Here is a 24,834-nt window from a genome sequence, read left to right as displayed (position 1 = left end):
AATGAAGGTCCGTGAGCTTTTTGACTTTGGCAGAAAGGACAAAACAGGAGCATAATGAACTATAAATTTTAGTGTATTTATGAGTATTTATAGCGCACTGCAAGGTTTGACTTTCTGTGTTTTTCATACATTTCATCTGAACTTGGCTCTGGCAGCAGATTCAGTATGTTTGACCTTCTGACTAGAACAGTTACATCAGGTCCACATTAACTGGCAAATGTTTTATTTTGTGGAGAGACTTGCAGCATGGGGGAAGGTTAGAATAATTTTCAATGAAACACACTCTTGGTACTACCTTTTGGAAAAAGTTTACATTTATTTTTTATTTCATTTTTAAGACAAAATTAACAATTAATGTTAATTGTGACATTATTACTCTTTAAAATGCAGCTGCCGTAATCTTTTAACTTTAATTATCATGTGTCCGTATGAGAGCTTTTGAATGTCAAAATGCTTTTGAATATGAAGGACAGGTAACACTGCTTTATAGCCTTCTGCCTATTCTTGGGATTATTTACAAATTGCATAGATTTGAATCTCTAGACCTAATTGTCTTGTACAGCTATGGGGATGATTGTCTGAGTTAACCGTGTTAGACTTGCTACAAAGACAGGAAAATTTTATTGATTGACAATGACATCTCTGCCACTTCAATTGTGACCTAGTAGTTCATGCGAGATGTATCTTTGCTATTCTAGCTTATTTTCCTTCACACCAGCGCAGCATGGCCACAGTAGGATAAGGGAGCGAAAACCTGTGTGAGACTTCCTCAGCAGGAGCAAGTCCTGCAGGCCTACTGGTGGGCGGAGGCCTGCTGAGAAAGGTGTCACAGAAAGGTCCACTCGGGGACCAAGACTGTCACTCACCAAGACTGTCACTGCCACCCTACTAGCTGGCAGTGCTCAGGGGGAGGAGTGTAGATTGGAACAAAACACTCTTATTTTCATTCAATAGACTAAAAAGTATTTACAATTGTGTTCTTCCAAATGAAGTATTTAAGGCCTCTTATTTTTATCTCCTTCTACTATTTTTTTTCCTTAATCACCTCATTAATTTCCAGTTTGGTTAAAGTATTCAACAGGCTGGAACTATATGGCTCATTTATTCTACTTTACTTATTTACTTTTTCAAAGCAAAATGGATAAAATCAATTAATAAATTTAAGCCCGTTTGCTATGATTTGGAGAGCTGTCAAATAATGCATCTTCCTTTCTTCACTAAAGTGCTATAAAATAATTTTTCTGTGAGAATAAGGCAAAATGGCAGACTGTTGTCTTCTGAAGGCTTAAGTTCATTTCTGTCCAGAGCCAGGATATGGGCTAAGCAGCTTGCACAAAGATTCTACCATATTCTATCAATGAAATTCTTAATTGCTGGCTTTATTACTTATATGAAAAGCATAAACAATTAATCAGTATTCTGATTCTCTTTTATACATGTATAAATCTATTTTTATGATGATTCCTATGATGTGTTTGAGTTTTAAACTAAAACTAAAACTTGTGTAGGGAATGGCAAAACCACTCTTCAGCACCAATTTGGAAAGCATAATGATTGATAATAGCATACACACAGGCAAAGACACACAATCTGAAATATAGTCAAGTATGTTAGAATGAAAAAGTGCCTGTCTGATGGGAAGAATGGATAGGGTATGGATTAAGGCTGGTCAGAGAAAAGGAATATGTTAATGATGCCCAGGAGAAGAATGAAAGGGATTGCTAAATGCTCTAGGGAAGGAAGTCTTCAGACACATCTGAGGTGGGTAAACTTCTGACTGTAATAATTTCCAACGTAGGCATAGCTTGTTCTCCTGTTTACAAAAAAGAAGTGAAAACACTAGAAAATAGGTGTTGAGGGGGTGGGGGGCAAAGTGAGGGAGAGCATTAGGACAAATACCTAATGCATATGGGGCTTAAAACCTGGATGATGGGTTGATGAGTGCAGCAAACCACCATGGCACATGTATACCTATGTAACAAACCTGCACGTTCTGCACATGTATCCCAGAATTTAAAGTTTAATAAATACATTTTAAAAAAAGAAAATAAGTGTTGAATAGCACAGCTCAATCTGTATCTGGTAGTAAAAATAATCCACTCAAGGGTGTCATGGGTACTGAGTTGTATATCATAATTAAAGTGCTTAGACCAATGCCTGGTACATTTAGTGCTCAACACATACTGGATTTAATTTATTTATACATACAGACACAGCTAGTGAAAGATAGAGATATATATTACATGTATATGCCATTTATGAAGGGAAAATAAATAAATCACAGAAATCTACAAAAGAAATTTACACAACTTTGCATAAGGCTAGAAATGTTTATATTTTCTGTTTTCTTTTTTAATTTATAATTAAGTAGTTACATGCTCATTGTGGAAAAGTGAAATGGTACAGAAGTATATATAGTAAAACATTATAATGTATACATCTTTTAGCAATTTTTCCAGAATTTTTCTATTTACATATATGCGTATACATACACTGATGTGTATATATACACACACAAATAAATAAATTATTACTTTTTACATTAGTAAGCACAAATGGGCTCAGATACATTTTATCTCTATGTCATTAGCTGAGTAGGAATAAGCAGAAGATTTACATGAAGATATTTTTGTCACACATACTTGTAGTACAACTTTATTACTCATAGTGTATTAGCCTAACATATTTGATTTCTTTTGGAAGTATATCTTTATCTATCTATCCATCTATCTATCTATCATCTATCTATCTATCTGTCTATCTATCTATCATCACGGAGGAATCCAACAGTATAAACGTAGTTGCTATAACAAATACCCAGTGAAAGACGTTTTATAGTTTCCTCTTAAAACTCTACATTAATGACCTGATAATACTCTGTGATGGCTTTTGGAAAATGTGTAAAGTTTCTGACAGTATGTCAACAAAGTGTCAAATATTGTGAGCAAGAAGCTATGAACTGGAATCATAGTGTCACCAAGTGTTAAAGCTGGAGGGACCTTAGACCCCCTTCATGTTGAAAGTAATGGGGCTGAAGCCCGGGAGGGTATAGTGATTTGTTCAAGGTCACAAACCAAGTGAGTAAGAACAAAAGAGTAGAACTTTCGTCCCCGGGTTCCCAGTCCTCATCTCTTTTAGATTTGTAATTTTGCTCCTAACTATATTTATTGTTTAATTTTATATGGAACAAAACACAGATTATAGAATGGAGTCAGAGATTTTTGGGAATCTGAGTCATTTTAAAGGTCACTCATTTCCTATTAGTCAGAGTAAGTAGCTATCTATCCCGATCATTTATTTAAGCATTTGTTCCATGTAACTCCTAGTGATATTACTTTCCCTGACAATGAGAAGCAGCAGTCATAGTTTCAATAAAACTAATCCCTCCCTTTAAATCTATTTTTTACTGAAGGAAGTATTTCTTGTCTTTCTTTCTTGCACTCTAGCTTTTTAAATAGACATACCCTTTGTCTTTGCACCACTAGATCATGACATAAATAGAAATTATTATCACAAACACAGGCACACAAATACATGCAAATGCCCAGGCATGTACACACACACACACACACACACACCCCACAAGAAGCATTTGACAGAAGCTGAGCACTTTCTTTCACATATTAATTCTCACCATAATTGCAAGTTAGTTGAATGTTCTCAAAAGTCCATTTTATAGATGAGAAAACAGAGTCAAAGAGTCATAGATTTTCCAAAATAAAGGCCCAAAACTAGGTCTTTTCCTTTCAATATACATATACATAATGGATTATAGATCTTTAATGAACAATTAAGATAAGTGAGACTATTTTAAAGAATACTAAAATCTTTTGGAAATGATAAAAAAATTAAACTAGTATTTTTACCTACTCTTTAGTGTTAAGCAGCAATATTTTGTATTAGAAAATCCAAACTTAGACTAACATTTCTATATTTTAAATTTAATATTTTAAATTCTGAATCTTCTTTGAAAGATAAAATATATATTTGTTCAAATTTTTATTTTTTTATCAACAGTTAAAAATTATATATACATATGGTATACCGTATGATGTTTTGATGTATGTATACATTGTGGAATGGCTAAATGAGGCTATTTAACATGTCCACTACCTCACATAATTTTCTTTTTGTGGCGAAGACACTTAAAATCAATTTCTTAGCAATTTTCAACTATACAATATATTGTTGTTAACTGTAGTCATTATGATGTACAATAGAACTCTTAAACTTATTCTTTCGGTCCAGCTGAAGTTTTGTGCTCTTTGACCAACATCTTCTCAATCCTTCCATCCCTGCTACTAACCCCCAGGACTCTGGTAACCACTATTTTACTTTCTGTTTCTGTGAGTTCAACTTTTTTAGCTTCCACATTTAAGTGAGATCATGCAGTATTTGTCTTTCTTATTTCACAACCTAGAGATAATGATCTCCAGGCTGAATTAACGTTGTCTTAAATGACAGCGTTTCCTTCATTTTCAAAGCTGAATAGTATTCCATTGTGTATATATACTACATTTACTTTATCTGTTCATCCACTGATAAACACTTAGGTTGATTCCATGTCTTGATTCCTGTGAGTAATGCTTCAATGAACATGGAAGTACAGATGTCTCTTAGACATATTGATTTCCTTTCCTTTGGATATATACCCAGTAGTGGGATTGCTGGATCATATTGTAGTTCTATTATTAGTTTTTTGAAGAACTAACTTTGAATATTTTAAAATTGACTTTGTAGTCAAATATATTCAAAGTATATTTTTATTTATAATCTCAAAGACATCTATGTTTAATTTAGAATGATCTTCAATAGGGTGGTATCACTTTCACTCTGTTTTACTATTTTACCTTTCCTCCTTTAGCCATTTAACCAGTTAACAGCTTGTGCCAGAGTCTTTTACAATGAAAGTAATGAGTCATGGTGTTTGTGATGAGTCCTGGACTAGGAGTCAGAAGACCTGGGTTTTTTTTTTTTTTTTTTTGAGACGGAGTCTCGCTCTATCGCCCAGGCTGGAGTGCAGTGGCGGGATCTCGGCTCACTGCAAGCTCCGCCTCCCGGGTTCACGCCATTCTCCTGCCTCAGCCTCCCAAGTAGCTGGGTCTACAGGCGCCCGCCACTACGCCCGGCTAAATTTTTGTATTTTTAGTAGAGACGGGGTTTCACCGTTTTAGCCGGGATGGTCTCAATCTCCTGACCTCGTGATCCGCCCGCCTCGGCCTCCCAAAGTGCTGGGATTACAGGCGTGAGCCACCTCGCCCGGCCAAGACCTGGGTTTTATTCCTGGTGTGTCCAATAGCTTGCCATATGCCTTTAGAGAGATCATTTACATTTATGAATTTTAGTCTAGCCTTCTACAAAAAAGGTGTGAGACTAGATGATCAGCAAGGTTATTTGATCATCTTAAAAGTCTATGATTTATAAAATTTCTTTCTATATATTAATTTTGCTAAATTAAGATTTTATTTTATTATGGGAATTTCTTAATTCAGACACACATATAAAAGATCCAGATATGAAAACAGAACCATTTTACAATTACTACACATGTATGCCTCCATGAAAATACAGTCTTATAATTCCCAGGGCTTTGTTAACAGGCTACCAAAGTAACTACCTTCTTCAATGAAAACAATTTATACATCTTTAAGATAAATTTGTTTTTAATGTAATTACTTAGTGGTAAATTTATTAAACATGATAGTCCAAATGGTACCCTAATTTAGATGAGGTGTGGACATTGAAACTTAAATTATAAGACAAAATCTTGAGGCCATACACTATATGGCCATACACTCACTCTTCACAATATGTAGGCTCAATTTGGTGACATTTCAGAACATGATAATGGATTTAGTGATACCAAGATTTGTCAGCAATTCCCTACATATAGTCTGAAAAACATATGAAATACTATGAACCTCTATGAACTAATAAGCCTACCTACATGTTTTTAAGATCATACATAGCATGCATTTCAAGACTCAAAGTTTGTTACAGGTTTTAATTTTTGAAGCCAATTTGCGTAACACACTTTACTGACATCAAAAATGGTGAATAAGATCTGGTATTTTTTTGTTTGTTTAAAAATCTCTAGCAAAGGGTTAACATAAATATATATTTAGTTTTTTTGTAAATATTTACAGAGTAGAACGCCTATTCAGTTCAAATCAGAAAATGCAAAATGTTCATGGTGTTTTATGTGTACATAGATTCCCAGGGTCTGTTCACACTGCTGAGTCCATGGCAGAAGTTTTGGTGGTCAGCATCACCTAGGCAACATTTTATTCTCTTCTGCTGCAGAGGAAATCTGCCATCCAGTAAGTGTTGATAAAATCACAATTCTACTGCTCTTTAATCCACTGCTAATTTAATTCTACTGCTAAAAATCCACTGTACTAGTTTTCTGTGGCTGTTGTAACAAAATTACCACATACTGGGCTAAAAACAACAGCGATTTAATTCTCTCGCCATCCTGAAGGCCAGAAGTCTGAAGTCAGTTTCTCTGGGCCAAAATCAAGTTATTGGCAGGGTTACATTCCCTCCACAGGCTCTAGGAGAGATCCTGCTCCTGACTTCCAGTTTTTTGCTGGAGGCCGGCACTTCTTGACTTGTGGCCACATCACTCTAATCTCTTGTCTTCATGGCCCGGTTGCCTCTTCCTCCTCTTCTGGTTTTCATGCTTCTCTCTTCTAAGGCTTCTTGTGATGACATTCAGGACCCACTCAGATAATTCAGGATGGTCTCTTCATCTCAAAATCCTTAACTTAGTCACATCTAAAAAAAAATTAGCATATCAGGTAACATACACAGGTGCCGGGGAGATGTAACGTATCTTTGGACGTAACTTTGGGAGCTGTTACCAGCCTACCACATCCATTCTTCAGTTATTCAGTACTTTGTGTTTAATGGGTTCTTAAACTGCACCAGGTAAAAAGACTCCCCGTTACTTAAAAATTTGTAAGTCAGTTATAGCAAATTCACATATACATGTGATATCTTAAGAAGAGTATAAAGAAGATGGGAGACAAGAAATAAAGCACAGTTACTATTAAGACCAAGGAGGTGAATTTAAATTACACTAAGGTATTATTTAATATTTAAATTTAATGTAAATAAAATATGACAATTAGAGTGGATCAAGCGTTTTTCAAAAGCAAATTTTAAATAAATAAAATCTTTTAATGCTGCTCTAGCTGCGACTGTTGGTTTGCTTTTACTGTTGCTGTTTCCGAAGCTTGGAAATGCATTTCCTTTCACCTACTCATTATTTCTTTGTTGTCTTCCACGTATCAGCTTAAATGTTACAATAGCAAAATGGAGGCTGAATCATACAACCTTGATATATTTTAAGTAGCTCTCATCACTCTCATCACTACTGAAGATTTTAATTATTTGTTTGCTTGTGTTAGTGTCTCACTTTCCTCCCCAGAAGGTATCTTTATGAAAGTTGAGATCTTTTCTATAGAATCCCAGCCCCTAGAACTGCATCTGGCATAACAGATTTTTGTAAGTATTGCTTAGTAAATTACAGAATCCCTAAACATTTAGTTCAGAGGTCACTTTCTCCAGGAAGAATTCTTGAACTAACTGCGCAGGAGAAATTTCCCCTTCTCTATGCTCCCATCTTCCTCTGCTTGTGCTTAAAACTAACATTCATCAAGTTGCATCATATTAACTTATTTGTATATCTATCTTCTGATAACACTGTAAGTTCTTGGAAGGCAAGGAGTTTATCTTAGCCTGCTTCGTATTCCTAAGTTTATATTCATACTGGTGCCTGGCACACAAAAGTCACTCAATGAGTATCTTTAAAATGAATTACTCTTTGAAAACCATGAAACTATCATAAAAACAGTTTGTTAAATCTATCTACAATAGTTTTATGCATCAGGATGGCTAGCCTATAGTACCCAGTTATTTAATCAAATACTCATCTTGGGGGTTGCTGTGATTTTATTTTGTAGATGTGGTTAACATCTATAATCAGTTGACTTTAAATAAAAGAAATTGCCCTCTTTAATGTGGATGAGGCTTATCCAATCAGGTAGAAGGCCTTGAGAGCAAAACTCAGGATTTCTTAGAAAAGAAATTCTGCCTCAAGGCTGCAACGTTAACTCCTGCCTGAGTTTTCCTACTTTGGGCCTCTCTCTCTCTCTCTCCCTCTCCCTCTCCCTCTCCCTCTCCCTCTCCCTCTCCCTCTCCCTCTCCCTCCTCCCCCCCCCTTCCCCCCCCCTTCCCTCTCCCCTTCCCCCTCCCCTTCCCCCTCCCCTTCCCCCTCCCCTTCCCCCTCCCCGGATATACTATCCACCTTCCCATTTAAACCTAACTTAGGCCTAACGTAGAGCAGTGGTGAGAGTTTGACCATATCTAAACAGATTAGACGTGACGCAATTCAGTAACCTTTTGAAGTCATGGCAGTAGAAAATTAAAACTGAAATTAATATGTCCAGAAAGGAAATGAAAAATAAATTGACCCTGAAAAATTAAATGAAGAACTAAATAATAATTCAGAAAAAATAAAAGATGAATTAACATTATAAACTATTAGAAGGTTTATATTATATTCAGTAGCATTTACTTTAAAAAGTAGGGTAGTACTAAATGATCTTTTAAAATAATTTTTATGCTACAGAGCCTTAAAAATATATCAAGTTATTAGTCATATACCATAAGAGAAAAGGGATATCGTGATCATTTTTGAGATACTTTACAATTAGTTTGTAACTTCTTATGAAGTGAACTTTTTAAAACTATCTGCCCCTACCTCAGAGCACCTCCAGGTTAGACTGTGAGACTTGACCAGGAATTGAGGCAGTTTCCATTAGAAGTGGTTCCTTTGAGGTTTTCTCTACTGCAATTGAGTAATGAAACTTTATGATGTGGCTGCATCTCAGAATCCCAGGCACTGGCTTCTTTCGGTGGCCGGGAAGGAAGAAGATAAAAGCTGGTTATTCTCAGCTCTCACTTTTCCTACTCTATTTCATCCAAAATTAACCTTTCTTTTCAAAAGCAAAGTACAATATTCTATCTACACTGGATAAAACTAAGTAAATATATTTCCAGGTTAGCAGAATTTGAAAAGAAACTATATTTTATAGTCAGGATCAAGTCAGGATTATTTCTCCAAACATATTTCATGTGTTTTGGTATTGATATTTTCACATGCATTTTTATTACCTTTTTGTTTTAGATTTTTTTGCAATAAGATCACAAATAAAAAATTGACTATTGACAACTCTGTTGAGATTTTGATATACTAATAAAAAATGATTCAAGTGAAGTAGGTTTGATTAAATCTGACTTTCCAGATGAAGACAAAACATGTCAAGAATCAGAAGACTTTACTTGGTTTTTCAGGGAGTTAGAACCGTGAAAGAGCCTTCCTTTATTGGAAAGAACTTTGAGGTGGCTAGAAAAGACAAGGTGCAACTGATGGCATGGACTAAAGTAAAGAGTATAGGCCAGTGATTTACAGTCTGAGCATTTCAGACTCAGCATGAGCATTTCAGATTCATCACGTCTAAAACCTAACATCTTCTAGAAATTGGCCCCATTCCTGACCTTCTAATTTCCATGAATAATTCCACTCTTCTCCAGCTCTGAGCTCATATCATTTTTTACTCCTCCTTAGTTGCTCCTCTAAACCTAAATCCTCTCCCTTAATCATTTTTTCTAGTTAGATTATTTGTAATTTTTTCTGAATTGGTTTGTTTTACTGCAATCAACTTAACCTGATTTTACACTATTGTATTGGCCTTTAACTAGACACTCTGACATCTAATCTCTTACTTCTTCAACTTTTGTGCATTCACAGTAACCTGATTAATCTCTCTATAATGCAACTACCAGGTTTACTTACCTTAAATTTTTTTAATATGCCTATGGATTGTAGGCAGGATAGTCAAGATCCTTTCATCTGTCACTCGTGTTCTTCCAACAAGGACCTTACCTCCTTCTTATATCCTTCTACTTTCTGCTATGCCAAATAAATCTTCTGTTTTCCAAACACAATTCAGTGTATATCTGCACTTTACTTTTGAATGTGCCCAGTGTAAATTCTATATAAATACTATGCCTCCTTTAGAAATGGAGCCAGAGATGTCTTTGTTTAAGAAACCATGGTTTAGTTCCAACACAAAACAACAAAATCCACATCTGTCTCTTTTCCTGTAGTGTATATTTACTGACACATAGCAAAATGTACTAGAAAGAATCATACAGCTATAGGTTGGATTCTGGCTCTGCCATATGCCAGCTTTGGAATACAGGCAAATGACTTAACCTTTCTGTCTGTTTCCTCATCCATGAAATTGGGATTAAAATATTTACTTCAGTGGAATTGTTTATCTCAGTTGTTTATTATTATTTATTGCCTCTCTCCCTCCAATGGAATATAAGCCTAAGAAGTCAAAAATGTTGCCTGTTTTGCTAACTGCTATTTCCTTCAACACCTAGACTGATGTCTGGCACAGAGTAGGAAACCCATACTATTTGTTGAATGATAAATGGTTAGCACCTGGTAAGGGCTTCACAAATGGTGGCCATCAACACCATCGTCATCGTTCATTATACATCACCTTTTTAATGCTGCCTAGCATAGCTATTTATTTTTCAAGTGAAATCAAGACTATTTCTACTTTATAAGTCTTTAGTAACTACTTAGTTATTGTCCTGTCCAAAATTGTACCAAAGCTCATATTATACAGGATTACATGAAGTTCATTATTTGAGGAAACAAATCAAAGCTTATTTAGTGGCTTTTCTCCCTAAGGACCACATATTCACATCTTATTGCTAGTAATCCAACTAGAGATTATCAGCTGCCTCTAGGCTCTTCATGCCACACATATTTACTTTTTTAGCAGCCATTTTTAATTATTTTCAATTCCTCTTCAAAGCCCACAAAATAATAATATGTCACATTTTAATAGCGCCTTAGAGAAAATTATTTCTGACTAACACATGAGTGTTTTAAAAAGTCAAATTTACAAGACATATATGTAAGAAGGGATGATGTTATTAGTAAGAGTCTTCCATGAAATTTCCGTGGTGCTATAGGAACATCAATTTCAAACAGCTAATCTTTCTCTCAATCCAACTCACCTAGAGGATAATTTTTCAGCCATCCAATGGATCAATTAGTCTTATTTCACACAAAAATGTATCTTTTGGAGGAGAAGAGGTCCTATCATCTTTAGTGAGCTACACTGCAGTTTGAGTTTATTATGTTCAACTCCTTCCTATGCAAAATTTGATAAAGAAGAAATCAGGGCAACCATGACTAGCAGTGGCTCATGGAGTCTGGCCACTCCTGCATCAGGAAGATATGCAACCCATCACGAAAGTACAAGACCTCCCCATTCTGGTTCACACAGACTATTCATCTACACAGAAATAAAAGCTAGGTATTATGAATCCCACTTTACAGACTGAGTTATTGAGGTTCAGTGAGGTTAATCAACTTGTACAAAGTCCTGCTTCATACTCGGAAGGCATTTATTTGCTTATGAAGGATCAGGTACTTGGACAGGTAGAATCAATTATTGGCTTTAAATAATGTTTTTTGTACATTTATCCAACAGTATCTATAAAATCATTTGTTTTGCTGTGAATTAAAAAGCAACCTTTTAAGTTCCTCTACCAGCTGTCTGTCTTCGAGTGCAGATATACACAGAACGAAAGAAAGAGGAGAAACCAAAAGTATTTGATCAGGAATCATAGTGATACTGTCTTATCTTTGTACTTGTTTAATAATTTGGGCTGAATAAATAGTATATTAAAAAGAGTAATGCTATACAAGCAGAAATTTTATATAAATCTCTAGTAAGCTAGCCATGAATATTAAACAAAAGTTGTCCTTTTTTATAAAAAATAAAAATTAAAAGAATATTTTTTCTTAAATCACAAAATTATGTCTCTGAAATTGAAGCTCTTATACTTTTTATGAGTCTTCGCTATTATTTTGTAACTGTAACATGAATATAGATTCCAAATATTGTGATTGAAAATCCTAGAGGGGATTTTTGTGAAACTTAATAGCAAAATGTAGTTGACACTCATTCTGTGTTACCCTAGGGCTACAGTTTTGCTACAGTTTTGATCATAGTCTGAGTGGATTCATTCCTGTCAGCACAATGAATTTTATACTCATATCGCAGGTATATTTTATAGTCCTTTTCCCTTTTTTAAGTAAAAACAAAGTAAAAATAAATTCAGTTATACTATAAAATTTCAACCAAGATCTTAAAAAAATTATATGAAACAAATATAACATATAGGCCGAAATCTGCCCCTTTCAAGTCTGGTTGTCTGATTAAATTTACTGTAATGCTGTTATTGATGTAAATATTAGCATACATTTATATACTTAACACAATCACTTTAATACATCATGATAAATAGAAAATCAGAACAAAAGAGTTATGTATTTATCAATTGCCCTGTAATTGTAAGAAAGCAGTGGCTATGTGTTATTAAACCTTACAAGCAGTGTAATACATTATATATCACCTTTTAGTTTTAAAACATTTTTAAGACCCTATTCCCTATTGCTCAGGTATTAGACACCAATGACAGTTGCTTTCAATTTTTTAAGAAAGTACATTCTGATCGTAGGTTCCCAAGAAGGTTAAATATAAATTAGTCATAAAGCCAATGGAATAGACAGGAAATTATTAGGCTATGTGATTATTTCTAGATTTATAGTGTTTTAACACTACTAGTGTTTAATTAAGGAGAAAAGGAGCCAATTTTATTTTATGTGATTATTTAAGGCCTCAAAAATTAATGTTCTTCTTACTCTGTAATGCTGTAGTTCTAAAGCAATGTTGAAGACAACAAAGTCCTATTTGATAGTCTAGCCTTTCAGCGAACAGCTCTTCTTCCTGTCTTTGATGTAGGAATGGTTTATTTAATCAATTATTAATCAAAGTTATGGCATTCTTCTTATATATTTAGGTAAAACTAAAAGATGACTTTCCCAAGCCTTATTGCTTAAATAAAAGTTTAAATAGACTGTGCAAACACTTGACTTTGACATGGCAGATATTGGAGTGATTTAAGTTTTAGAGAGCCATGGTCTCAATTGGATGCTTAGATGAAAAGGTGTGTGTGTGTGTCTGTGTGTGTGTGTGTATATGTGTGTGTGTCTAGTGAGATTTTCTAGCAGTAGATGATGAGCATGTGCCAAAGTATCCAGAACACTTTTGATAACCTTCCCTCTGATAACAAAAGCCAGTACAGATAATTTGATTAGTGTTTTCTTTGCACAGGTGTTAAAGTTGACAGGAAACAGCTGAAAGACACACACAGTGGTGCAAGCTGGGCAGCTGGACACTTTGTGCATGGAGAATCTTGAGCATTTGGTAACATTTGGCAGCTTAACACAGAAAAAAATGACTGCTAGCAAAATCTCAACTGCTGCTAATTAGCAGCAATGAACTGTGGGTAGGACAGTGCATTTTAATGTGAGAAGATTTTTACAGTAACCACCACACTAAGAGGCGGGGGGGTATAGAAAGAAATGCTCCCTAGCTGACCCTAGTGGCAATCCAAGCTGCATATTGCAATAATCCTGTAAATTACTATGCTTTCTTATACAGTAACTTGGAGTTAATTAGTAATTTAACATTCCTCTACACTATTAAATGTCTTTTTTGCATTATATTATGTTGTTTCATGGGCTTACCTTAACACTAATGGGGTTTTGTTATATTTTCTGAAAACAGTACCAGCAAAATAAAACTGAACTAGAAAATTAATTAGTTATCTTTTTACCTTTGATTTACCTGTTATCAACAATTAAGTGGTGGTACACATTTTTAAAGTGGTTTCAGAGGTTACATTGAGATGAATATACTTCCAGAATATATTAGAGAGGAAATGTGAATAAAAATGAATAGTGTACATGCTTCAAGTGACTATGCCATAGATGCAGAATGCAATGCAAACATGTTTCATATTTCTGCTCTAATAGAGTGGGTTAGTAATGTGGGTGGCAGAAGGGAAGGAGGAATAGAGGTAGAAAAGGAAAGCCTATTTATCTACATTTTCTAATTTAAAAAAAAACTTTGTAAAAAAACGTCCATACCATTCTTGAGTTTATGTCATAAATGTTAATGTGCTGGAATGAAGCAGTAGATTTTAGCATATAAGAAAATATGCACACTTTTGTAGCTTTGTAGTTTGTAAATGCCAGAGGATTTTGTAGGATTCTATGATGAGGGAAATGTGATACTCAAAAATTTAGGTAATGTAAATTAATGCATGCTATGATAACTTTCAAATAGAAAACTCTGAGATGAGGGATTGTGGTAAATGAAATTATTCTGAATATTTGAACAGAAGAAAGAGGTTAAATTTGTTAGTATAGTGTTTTCTTAAAATATTTTAACTAGCCACCTCTTTCTTCTCCTGCAATCCTAATCTTCCTATTGAATGAAACAGACAAATAAAATAGTATTACGTGCATGCACTTTAAAAACTGTTCTTATGCATTTGAAATGGAAATTCTACTGTAGTGTGTGTGTATATTAAAGATAAAGGAAGTGTTTCTATTTGTCATCTTAAAAATCAATGTGAACTTGATAGTGGAACAATTTAGTAAAAGCAGGGCTTCAGAAGAAGAAAAGCCACGGATGTAAGTGGAAAGGAATGAATTCAATACAAAACCCTTCCAAAAGATTTCGTCTCTTGGGGCTCCCTCTAAAAGAGTGTCTGCTACCATTTAAAACCCCATCCTTTGCAGCTGGATTTGAACATACCATAAAAAATTCATCCACGCTTTAAGAGATTTCTGCTTTTCTGTCCTCTCTATTGTTAGACAAATTGAAGTGTGCACTCGGAAGGAAAGTGGCAGTGAACTGCGAATTTATTTACTCATTCGATTCTAATATTGAGAGAATCTACTCTCTCCGTTCAAAGGGTAGAGCAACAATGCAAGTGACATCAGGTCACCCAGCACTTCATAGCTACCTGTGAGATAGAATTGTTCTCCTTGCAGATAGGAAGTGACTGAAACCTCTTTTTCTCATCAATGTCTATTATGATTGATGGCTCTATGGTCACATTGAATATGCCCTTTTTAAATAATTCACAATGTCATCACCATAGTACTAGTTTATAACTAGCCTGTTATTTTTACCTTTGTTCATTCACTATCAGAAGGTTAGATAAATTAAGTACTGTGGATTTTGGTAGCATTATAACCAACCAAAGTAGAGTGTTTATAGCCCAACAACAGCAACAACAGCAGCAAAGCATTGATTTTGTTTTTTACTGGCGCTCTGAATGCTCTCTCTCTCTCTCTCTCTTCCTCCAATAAGTCCTAAAAGGAAAATCAAAAATAGCAGAAGCACTTGTAGCACACTAACTTGAAACCACACTCGGGTATTAAGTCATCATAAGATTTTCAATATAAAAAGCAGTCACACTGCATTGAGATATATGGAATTTTACATATTCTGTACTTATTTAAAAATAATGTATCATATTTATTTAATGGCTCCATAATAATAAAATTTATAATTTACTTCCAAATATCTAATGCATGAATTGTTAAACCAGCATCTGTACTAAAGAGCAGAAAAAACATTTATTTAAAAATGTAATGCTTGATATTGGGAGTACACTACATAAATAATATAATATTTCAGTTATTTTCTAAGTCGGTTAGAAGTCAGAGGTTGTTATTTAAGTTTTGAAACGTAGATGCAGATCCTCAAAAGTTCTTCATTTTATAATATACAAATGATTATATAGCAGTTTTGATCAGCACTAATTATTAAAATGAATAACTATGTGTCCTTTATAATGCAAATTTTGTTGTGTTACACATAAATTGTTGAGAGGTCAATTATACAAATTCAAAATATCAATCAAAGGAATTGACTTATGTTGCCTTAAATAAACAAACTTTCTTTAGATTTTAATTTTAACATATTGTAACATAGTAACATTATTTAACAATACAATATTTAACATATTGTAACGTAGTAATTCAATAGATTTTATTTGTGCAAGTCTCTTCACAGAGTACAAATGCTTCAAATCTCAGATTAAGAATATTAATTTTCTTAAAACTTAGATATGATGTACATATTCAACCTATAATAAGTTATATAATTTTCAGAGATAAATTATGGGTTTAATAGAATTGTGCCTTTATAAAAAGTTTTAGCCTTGGTGTTTTATTTTTACGGTCCTAATTTTGGATGTTTATTGTTTGTTGATTTTATTGTCGAATTCTGTTTCTCAAAGTAACAATGTCAGATGGAATGAAAAAATATAAAATGAGTCTAGACTTAAAGTATGTGCTTAAAGTTTCAATATGCTATCATAAATAAAAGAAGTCGAACTGCTAGGTAAGAGCTGTCATGTTATCAGAAATGCTATAATTGTAAGTATAGAGCTCTATTCGTTCATTTACTCAATAAATATTGGCCACTAGGAAATGGAGAGATAGCTCATGTTCTATCAGGGAACACAGACAACAAATTTTATTTTTAAAAAATAAGGCAACCTCAGATAGCAATACGTCCTTTGAAGCAAATAAAGTAAGGTGATGTGCTAGAGAGACACTGGGGAAAACAGATCTTGAGACCATTATTTAGACTGGGTGGCCAGGGAAATCCTGTATGGGTGAGACGGAACTGAGAAAAATAATGCACAGGTGCCAATTATTTAAAGATCTGAGGCCAGATAATTCTAGATCAGCAATTCTTAGATTTCTGCTATGGCAAAAACAAACATGGCATTTCAGAATGACTGGAATGATGAGGAGAAAGCCCAGACAAGATGAGGTTAGGAAGTCAGGCACAGACCAGGGAAAATGCCGCATTTAGGTGGTAAGACATTTGGATATCACTGTATTCTATATGCAACGAAAAGCTATTGAAAGGTGTTAAGCAGGATAGTGACATTCTTTGGTTCTTGTTTTACAAAAAATTCCTAGCTGTAGAGTTAGACAGACATTTGAAGTCTTGCTGTCACCTCCAGTGTGTGCTACTTAACTTCTGGGAGCCTCCATTACTTTGACTCCAGTATGGGGGGTAGTGCCAATAAGAAAGATAGATAAGAAAGTGCCTGTGCCTAACACAGTGCTTGGCAACTTGTAAAGGCTCAAGAAATATGAAATCTCTTTAGTGTTCTTACTTTTGGTTGTAATGTTTCAAAATGTCTAAGCAAAGAATTTGGAGACCTTATCACTATGAAGGTTAATTAAATCTCATTTTAATATTAATTTATCTTTATGAGAAAATGAAGTAACAAGATGGTCAAAGACAGTTACTTGTTTCACAGGAGATATCCATTAAGCAACTATAGGTATTAGTAAAATAATTACACTTATGGAGACTTTAGCATGTCCTAGATACATCCTAAGCTTTTTGAATACATTTGCTTATCTACCCTACAATACAGACATGAATTTATGCTATTATTATTCTATTTTACAGATGAAGAGAGGGCCACAGGAGTTATATAACTTTCCTAGGTCATAGTGACAGAAATAAGATATTAAAATAAGGGTTCTTTCTCCAAAACTAGTACCTTAACAGTATTCAGGGCTTAGGGAGTTAGTGAACTAAAAAATTTGAGGTTTAATATAGTTAATATATATATATTTCTCAATTTAGAGGTCAATTGATACATAAAATGAAAATTTGATTTGTTATTAGTATCATCTTATAAAATAAGTGGCTTAGGCTTTAAAAAATATAGTAAAGAATATAAAATGAAAAACTGTTGAGTTGAAAACAATCTTTTTCAGACTGTTTCTCCCTTTTAAAAGGCAATTTTATTTTAAAAATGATTCTTTTGAAGTAGTTTTATAAATAATTCAAATATTTTTTCTTTATGTATCGTTGTTTCTTAACTTTTACCTAAATATAACCACATGGAACATGTGAAAAGTAGAAAATAAAACAAATGGAAAAACCTGAAAATTATTTAACTAGATAAAAATTGTCTTAATTGAAATAAGTGTTTTATTTTCCTCGTGATTAAAAACTCAATTTTACTGTTAAAAAATAAAAGTCAGCATCTTAAATATATTTCAGAGTCTATTATCACAAGAAATTCTAGCCAAAAGAGGTAGTGCAAAGTTTTAAAAATTAAGGTTCAATTTTGATTTGCATTTCATACAACTTTAAAGAAGTGCTTGTACAAAGACATGGGGGCAATTCGAGAGGAAGCTAAGAAATCAAAGATGTAGTAAAGAGGGCATATGCTTTGAAACTTGTGGAAGCTTGAAAATCACTATTTGTTTTTACTTAAAATGAAAGAAAAAGTAACTACTCGGGAGGCTGAGGCAGAGAATTGCTTGAACCCAGGAGGCAGAGGTTGCAGTGAGCCAAGATCCCACCACTGCACTCCAGCCTGGGCGATGGAGTGAGACTCCGTCTCAAAAAAAAAAAAAAAAAGAAAGAAAAGAAAAGAAATAAAGAAAAAGTACAAGGGAAGACATGGAACAGTGGAAGCATGATTTCCTTGTAACCAGTGAAATACATTTTATAAAAATAGCTCTTTAAAATGGGGTTAAATAATCTTTAGCCATCCTAAAATTTCCGTGGCTTTCTATATAAATGGCCATCCTTTAGAATGCCATGTTTTGAGGCTTTGCCTAACTTTAAAACATTCATTTATTAAAATAATAACAATAATATTGTTGCTGTATGACCACCATATTTCAGGTAATATGCTAGACAGCTTGGGATATAAAAGTCAACAGTAATCAATGTCCTCAAGGTAGGAGAAGTAAGACAACTATATGTAAGACAAACCTATGTACACTGGGCTTGACGTGCTGAGCTGGTCAGTTCATATGGTGATGTGATAATCATTTCACTGTGGTGAGTTTAAAGTTGTAGCTGCCATTTTTTTTTCAGGAACGATTCAAGTATGGCTTTTTATTAATACAAAAATTATCTGTGTAACTTTTTCCATGAGTGAATATTGCAATGTAATCTATAAAGATCTCACATTTCCAAGATGACTGATTGAATCTCAGTTGTTGAGGCATCACTTGTACTTGCCTCAGCAGGGTTAAACTTGACAAGTGGTAAAAGAAAAAGCAAAACAAATTAAGCAGACATCCAGACATACATACATACAAATAATCCAAATAAACTAGAAAGCAATCCAGTATATCCCAAATAAATTTAACTTGGAAAACCTACAGTAAATATACGGAGCATTATCAGTATGATAAATGGCCAGCATAAATGTGAGGGCATCATGAAGGTAGTAGTGTCCATAATAACAATAGGAGGTTCTTCAAAGGAACATGTTAAGAAAGTGAAATACAAAGTTCCAAAGAGAGCCTGTGGAACTGGAAGTAAAATGAAGAATTGAAAAAAAGGGGATGGCGAATAGGAATAGCAGGAAAGCAGTGTCATAAAAGGAGAAGAAAAAAATATGTATCTTTGGCCCGGCATGGTGGCTCACACCTGTAATCCCAGCACTTTGGAAGGCTGAGGCAGGTGGATCATCTGAGGTCAGGAGTTCAAGACCAGCCTGGTCAACATGATGAAACCCCATCTGGTACTAAAAATACAAAAATTAGCCAGGCGTGGTGGCAGGTGCCAGTAATCCCAATTATTCGGGACGCTGAGGCAGGAGAGTCACTTGAAACCTGGAGGCAGAGGTTGTAGTGAGCTGAGATCGCACTATTGTACTCCAGCTTGTGCGACAAAAGCGAAACTATATATATATATAAAATATATAAATAATTAATAATAATATATAAATAATTAAATAATATATATTATAAATATGTAAATATATGTTTTTTTCTTATTGTTCTTTGAAAAAAATTGAAGAATTTACATTGGCCCAAAATGACAAGAGCAGCTTCAATGTAGTTATTTTGTCGGGGAGGGGGATGTAGAAGGGACTGGTTATAGGAGGGATAAAATATAGAGTTTCTTAATTTAAAAGTTTGACAAGTACATTTTATGACAGTGATGGCAAAATGAAAAAAAGGTATTTTGCTTGTTAAAATATTTTAAATTTATATAGTTAATAATTCAGTGAAACCATCCATTTATATTTTTAGCTGACGTTTTGAAATATGCTTTGTGTGTGTGTGTTTATGAACTCATGGTGTTAATCACTCTCTACATAATATAGAATTATTTGGGGCTTAAAAAATTGAGTAAAATTTGAGTAAAATTTTCAGAAGTCAATGTCAACAGCCTTGATACATGATAATGTTCACTTCTCAGAATGTGCATAATTCCAGCCAGCTATCAAATCAAGCCACAACTGGAGATCTGAACTCTAAGAATAATATCAAAAAATAATTTGGTATGTGATGACTGAAATGATCGCAATTTGGATAACATGCCGGTATCTACCTTACAATATACATGTATATAAACTACTAGGGTCTAATCAAAGTGAAAATAATTTTGAGACTGAATCAGTCTGGCAACAAAATATCAATTCCTTGAGCAATTGGATTCACTGCACTATATAAAATAAAGACTACAAGTATCATTCTGTCATTTCTAACACTGTCTTTCTCTTAGATAAAACACAGCTTTTTTAGTGTAGTATATTATCACATACTATCACATTATTATTTTGTGAATATTGGAACCAGCAAAGATTGAAGAGATCTTCTGTCCAAATCCTCATTTATCACAGTTCTGTAGCAGCATAATAAACAAAACAAATAAAATCCCTGCCCACATGAAGCTCATAATATAGTTTCAAAAGATTAGGAAACCCAGAGTTTAAGTGACTCATAATCCTTATTTCTCAAGTTCTTTCTGCTACTAAATAGAAAATTGGGCCAAGAACTCAAGTTGTCTGACTCCTGATTTATTAATGTTTCTGGTACTCTGGCCATGAGAGTAAGAAGGTCTGCATTTGTGTTCCAATTTGCTATTCATTGACAAATGTTTTGGAAATTACATTTGTATATGACATTTTCATTAGCTTATATCTAAATAATACAATTGTTTTAACAAATAGTATATATACACTTTTTGTTCTTTAATGAGTGCTGTTCTTATATATTAACAACAGCTTTTTATTTTTCAGATAAAGAAGGCAAGAAACATGTACTTAAAACAGTACTTCATGGTCTAATGATACCCCACAGCAAAAAAAAAAAAAAAAAAAAAGTACAAAAAAACACAAAGGTGTTACTCAGAGTTACTCAGATTGTTAGATTACGTGCAAAAAAATTGAACTAGGCTGTCTATGAAACCTTTCCAAATAAAAGTTTTAACTCAAATTTAAAACAAAATTATTTATCTTGTTACTGTAATACAAATTTCCTCAAGCTTTAAAAGCTTTGCAAGAAAATACAGTGGTTTGGGAGGCCGAGGCGGGTGGATCATGAGGTCAGGAGATCGAGACCATCCTGGCTAACAAGGTGAAACCCCGTCTCTACTAAAAATACAAAAAATTAGCCGGGCGCGGTGGCGGGCGCCTGTAGTCCCAGCTACTCGGGAGGCTGAGGCAGGAGAATGGCGTGAACCCGGGAAGCGGAGCTTGCAGTGAGCCGAGATTGCGCCACTGCAGTCCGCAGTCCGACCTGGGCGACAGAGCGAGACTCCGTCTCAAAAAAAAAAAAAAAAAAAAAAAAAAAAAAAATACAGTGGTAGTGAAATTAGTATTAAAAAATTGCTAAGTTATTAAGTTATTAGCTACTATTAACTGACATTGGATATCTAGCCTTCTAAAGTATACCTTTCTCTTCAAGATCTTTCTGTGTTGCTAATGTTTGTCTCACACACTGTGCTACAAGTCTACCACCACCAATTCTTGCCTAATTTTTTGAGCAGGATCTTGTCTCCAGATGCCTCTCCAAGCATCTCAGTCCCTTCTAGTAGTTGCCTCTATTCTGTCATGAATTGCAGTTATCACCAATGTGTCGCCAGGATAGCAATCTCTACCAGACCCCGATTTATTCAACTTTCTCAACTGAGCACCACATTCATTCCTTCTATTCCTTTTGGCATGGCAGTTCACCTTTGGTGGCTATACCATTCTTCCACAAGTCCAAAGGCGATTTTTCTCTCTGGCCAATAGATTTACTCTCTTATTTGTCATATTCTTTTAGGGCATCCTTAAGTGGTATTGACTGAACTCCAATGTTATAGAGAAAAAACTCTTACAACCCTCTACCATGCTTCTGGTGATGTCTTAGTGAAGTAATATACATACACTGCAAAATTATTACTCTCTTTTGAGTTTTAGCAAAACTAAATCAAATGTATCATACTTAATCATACTTAGCTACTGGTCAGTGGACTCTAAACTCGTCAACATTTTAACTTTATGCAATTTGAATAAAAGGATAACACTTTAAACAAAAAAATTAAAAAGTGGGTGTCATTGACAGGTTTTTTTTTTTTTTTTTTTTTTTTTGAGATGGAGTCTCGCTCTGTCACCCAGGCTGGAGTGCAGTGGCGCTATCTCGGCTCACTGAAAGCTCCCCCTCCCAGGTTCACGCCATTCTCCTGCCTCAGCCTCCCTAGCAGCTGGGACTACAGGAGCACGCCATCTCTCCTGGCTAATTTTTTGTATTTTTAGTAGAGACGGGGTTTCACCGTGTTAGCCAGGATGGTCTCGATCTCCTGACTTCGTGATCCACCCGCCTTGGCCTCCCAAAGTGCTCGGATTACAGGCGTGAGCCACTGTGCCCGGCCATTGACAGTTTTTAAGATTTCTTTCTAAATACCAAGACAAAGAGCAAAAGATCAATACTTGAGTATCCATGTTAAAAGATCTTTTTTTCATCCTATATAAGTAATTATCTAGTGTCCTATGGATGACTAGCCTACTGGCAAGATATTTACCTACCAGAAGACATTGATCTGCCAACATTCAGGTTTTCTAATACAGAATCCTATGTTTACATGAATGACTTCTCTATTCCAAAGATATAGGGAGAAGGTGAGCACTCACCTTATCTTTCCTTTTTCTGTCTTTAATGGATAATGCATACATGTTTTACTTCTATTGACAGTGTAAAAACATTTGAAAATAAAATGTGTGGAGAATCTCATTGCTATTCATACAAACAAACAGACAACAAACAACAAAAAGTGTGAACAATAAAAAATAAGACTAACTTCGTTATGGCTGTTGACTAATGGACTTGTCTAATCAAGATACATCAAGAAGCCCTGATCTAAGAACTGACTAGCATTATCCAAGAATTTTCTGGATGTGGCTGGAGTGTGAGAATTCCACATTGATTGTGCATATGTTTTAAAGGATTGATCTTCCACAAAAACAAAATAGAAATAAATTACCCTTATCCATAAGAAACAAATTATAAGCAAGATTGGTTTTCCAAAATCCACATTAGATGGAATTGTAGTGTCTGAATGGAAGTCTTTACTTTATGAAAATTATAATTATTTTGATTTTTGTCCACAATCAGCTTGAAATGTTGCAAAACTCTGCAGGTGCTCACTGTTATAACAAAACCATGGGAACAGATGGTGCAAGGTACCAGGCCAGCTCAAGGGATTAAATGTGAGGCTTTTGAAATTTAAAATTAAAGCTGGGTGATCTTGGGAAAACCTGCCTGCCAAACATGCTTGCTTAAAAAAAATAAAAATAAAAAATTTACCCAAATTCTCTTGACAAGCTTATTTACATTCGAATGACTAGGAAATATTAAGTAGTTATAAAGTACTGTTGGCAGGGTACAGCCCACCTGATCAAATTAAAATATGAAATGCTCACTTCCATTATGGTGCTAAGGCTTTGCATGCAGCGACCCCCCTCTTACATTTTGTTCCTACCAGGAGCCAATTTCTTTGGACAAGTTGGTACATTTATAGGTGCTAAAATAAAGATATTGTAAACAGTCTCTTTTAAAAGGACAGAGTGAAATGTTTTGGTTGAATTACTAATGATGAGTTTAGGAGATTCACATCCATTGCTATGAGTAAAAGAAATGAGAAAAGAAAACGTTCAAAAGTTAACATGCTCAACCAGCTTTAGTTCTCCTAATAACAAAATCCATGTTCAAAATACATTGAGAGAAACATACTTAAAATATCAAGGTTGTTATATTTATTTTTGTATTGCTAGTATATTCTTTATAATAAAGTAATATCTTATGATGATACATATTAGAACATTTGAGCAATTACTATGAAACATGAAGTATTTTTATATTAACATTAATGCTCCAAGCTCCTTTGCAAGGTAGATATTATCTATACTTACAATTGTGGAAACATTCTCCATTACTTGCTACTAAGTATTGAAAACTTGAATACAACACTGAGTGAGTTTCTCCTCAAAAGCCATTTTTTTCTTTTTCAGTTTGCCAGATATATTTATGACTATCATCTAATCCTATTAACAAATACCCTATGTCAAGGGATATGCAGTAATACCCATCTTATAGATGAAAACAACAGGGCCTTTGAGAGGGTCTGGAATTACAGCACATCACAGAGTTCTGAAATGACAAAGTCAGGAATAAGGCATAATTCTTTCTGTCGCAATTTAGTGTTATTTCCATTGACCGCTTAATTTATTTACAGATAACCCTGTAGTAGAGTGAGGCATTTGAAAATGTAGATGTATGTACTTGAGCTTTTCTCTTATCCTCCAGAAAATCTATCCAATGGCTTAACATTATGTTTCTCCTTTTCTGGGTTATGGTGTATTTCATGAGCATGGGTGGGAATTCTTAAATTCTCTGGGAGAGTTTTTAGGCTTCTAAGAAGTTGAATGAGTCAGACATATATGCAAGATAGTAGTCCAGGCATTTGAAACATAAGGATAAGTAAATCATAGAACCTGACTTTATGATAGTCATCATCTAAATTGCATAATATCTCAGACAGCATG

General features: G+C 34.3%; 1 long non-coding RNA gene across 2 annotated transcripts in view; it reads right to left on the bottom strand.

The window, feature by feature from the left end:
• Positions 1-2,004: 2,004 nt before the first annotated feature.
• Positions 2,005-24,834, bottom strand: part of LOC107985953 (uncharacterized) — a 139,261-nt gene continuing 116,431 nt past the window's right edge. For both annotated transcript variants that reach the window (XR_001739746.3, XR_001739747.3), the window contains 2 exons: positions 8,768-8,915; positions 2,005-6,777 (listed from right to left, as the gene is read on the bottom strand). This is a non-coding gene — a long non-coding RNA (uncharacterized LOC107985953). The remainder of the gene's footprint in view (positions 6,778-8,767; positions 8,916-24,834) is intronic.

This window comes from Homo sapiens, chromosome 2 (genome assembly GCF_000001405.40).
Source record: "Homo sapiens chromosome 2, GRCh38.p14 Primary Assembly".
Classification (NCBI taxonomy): domain Eukaryota; kingdom Metazoa; phylum Chordata; class Mammalia; order Primates; family Hominidae; genus Homo; species Homo sapiens.
The sequence above is the reverse complement of the archived record's forward strand: the minus strand, read 5'-3'. Positions and strand labels throughout refer to the sequence as shown.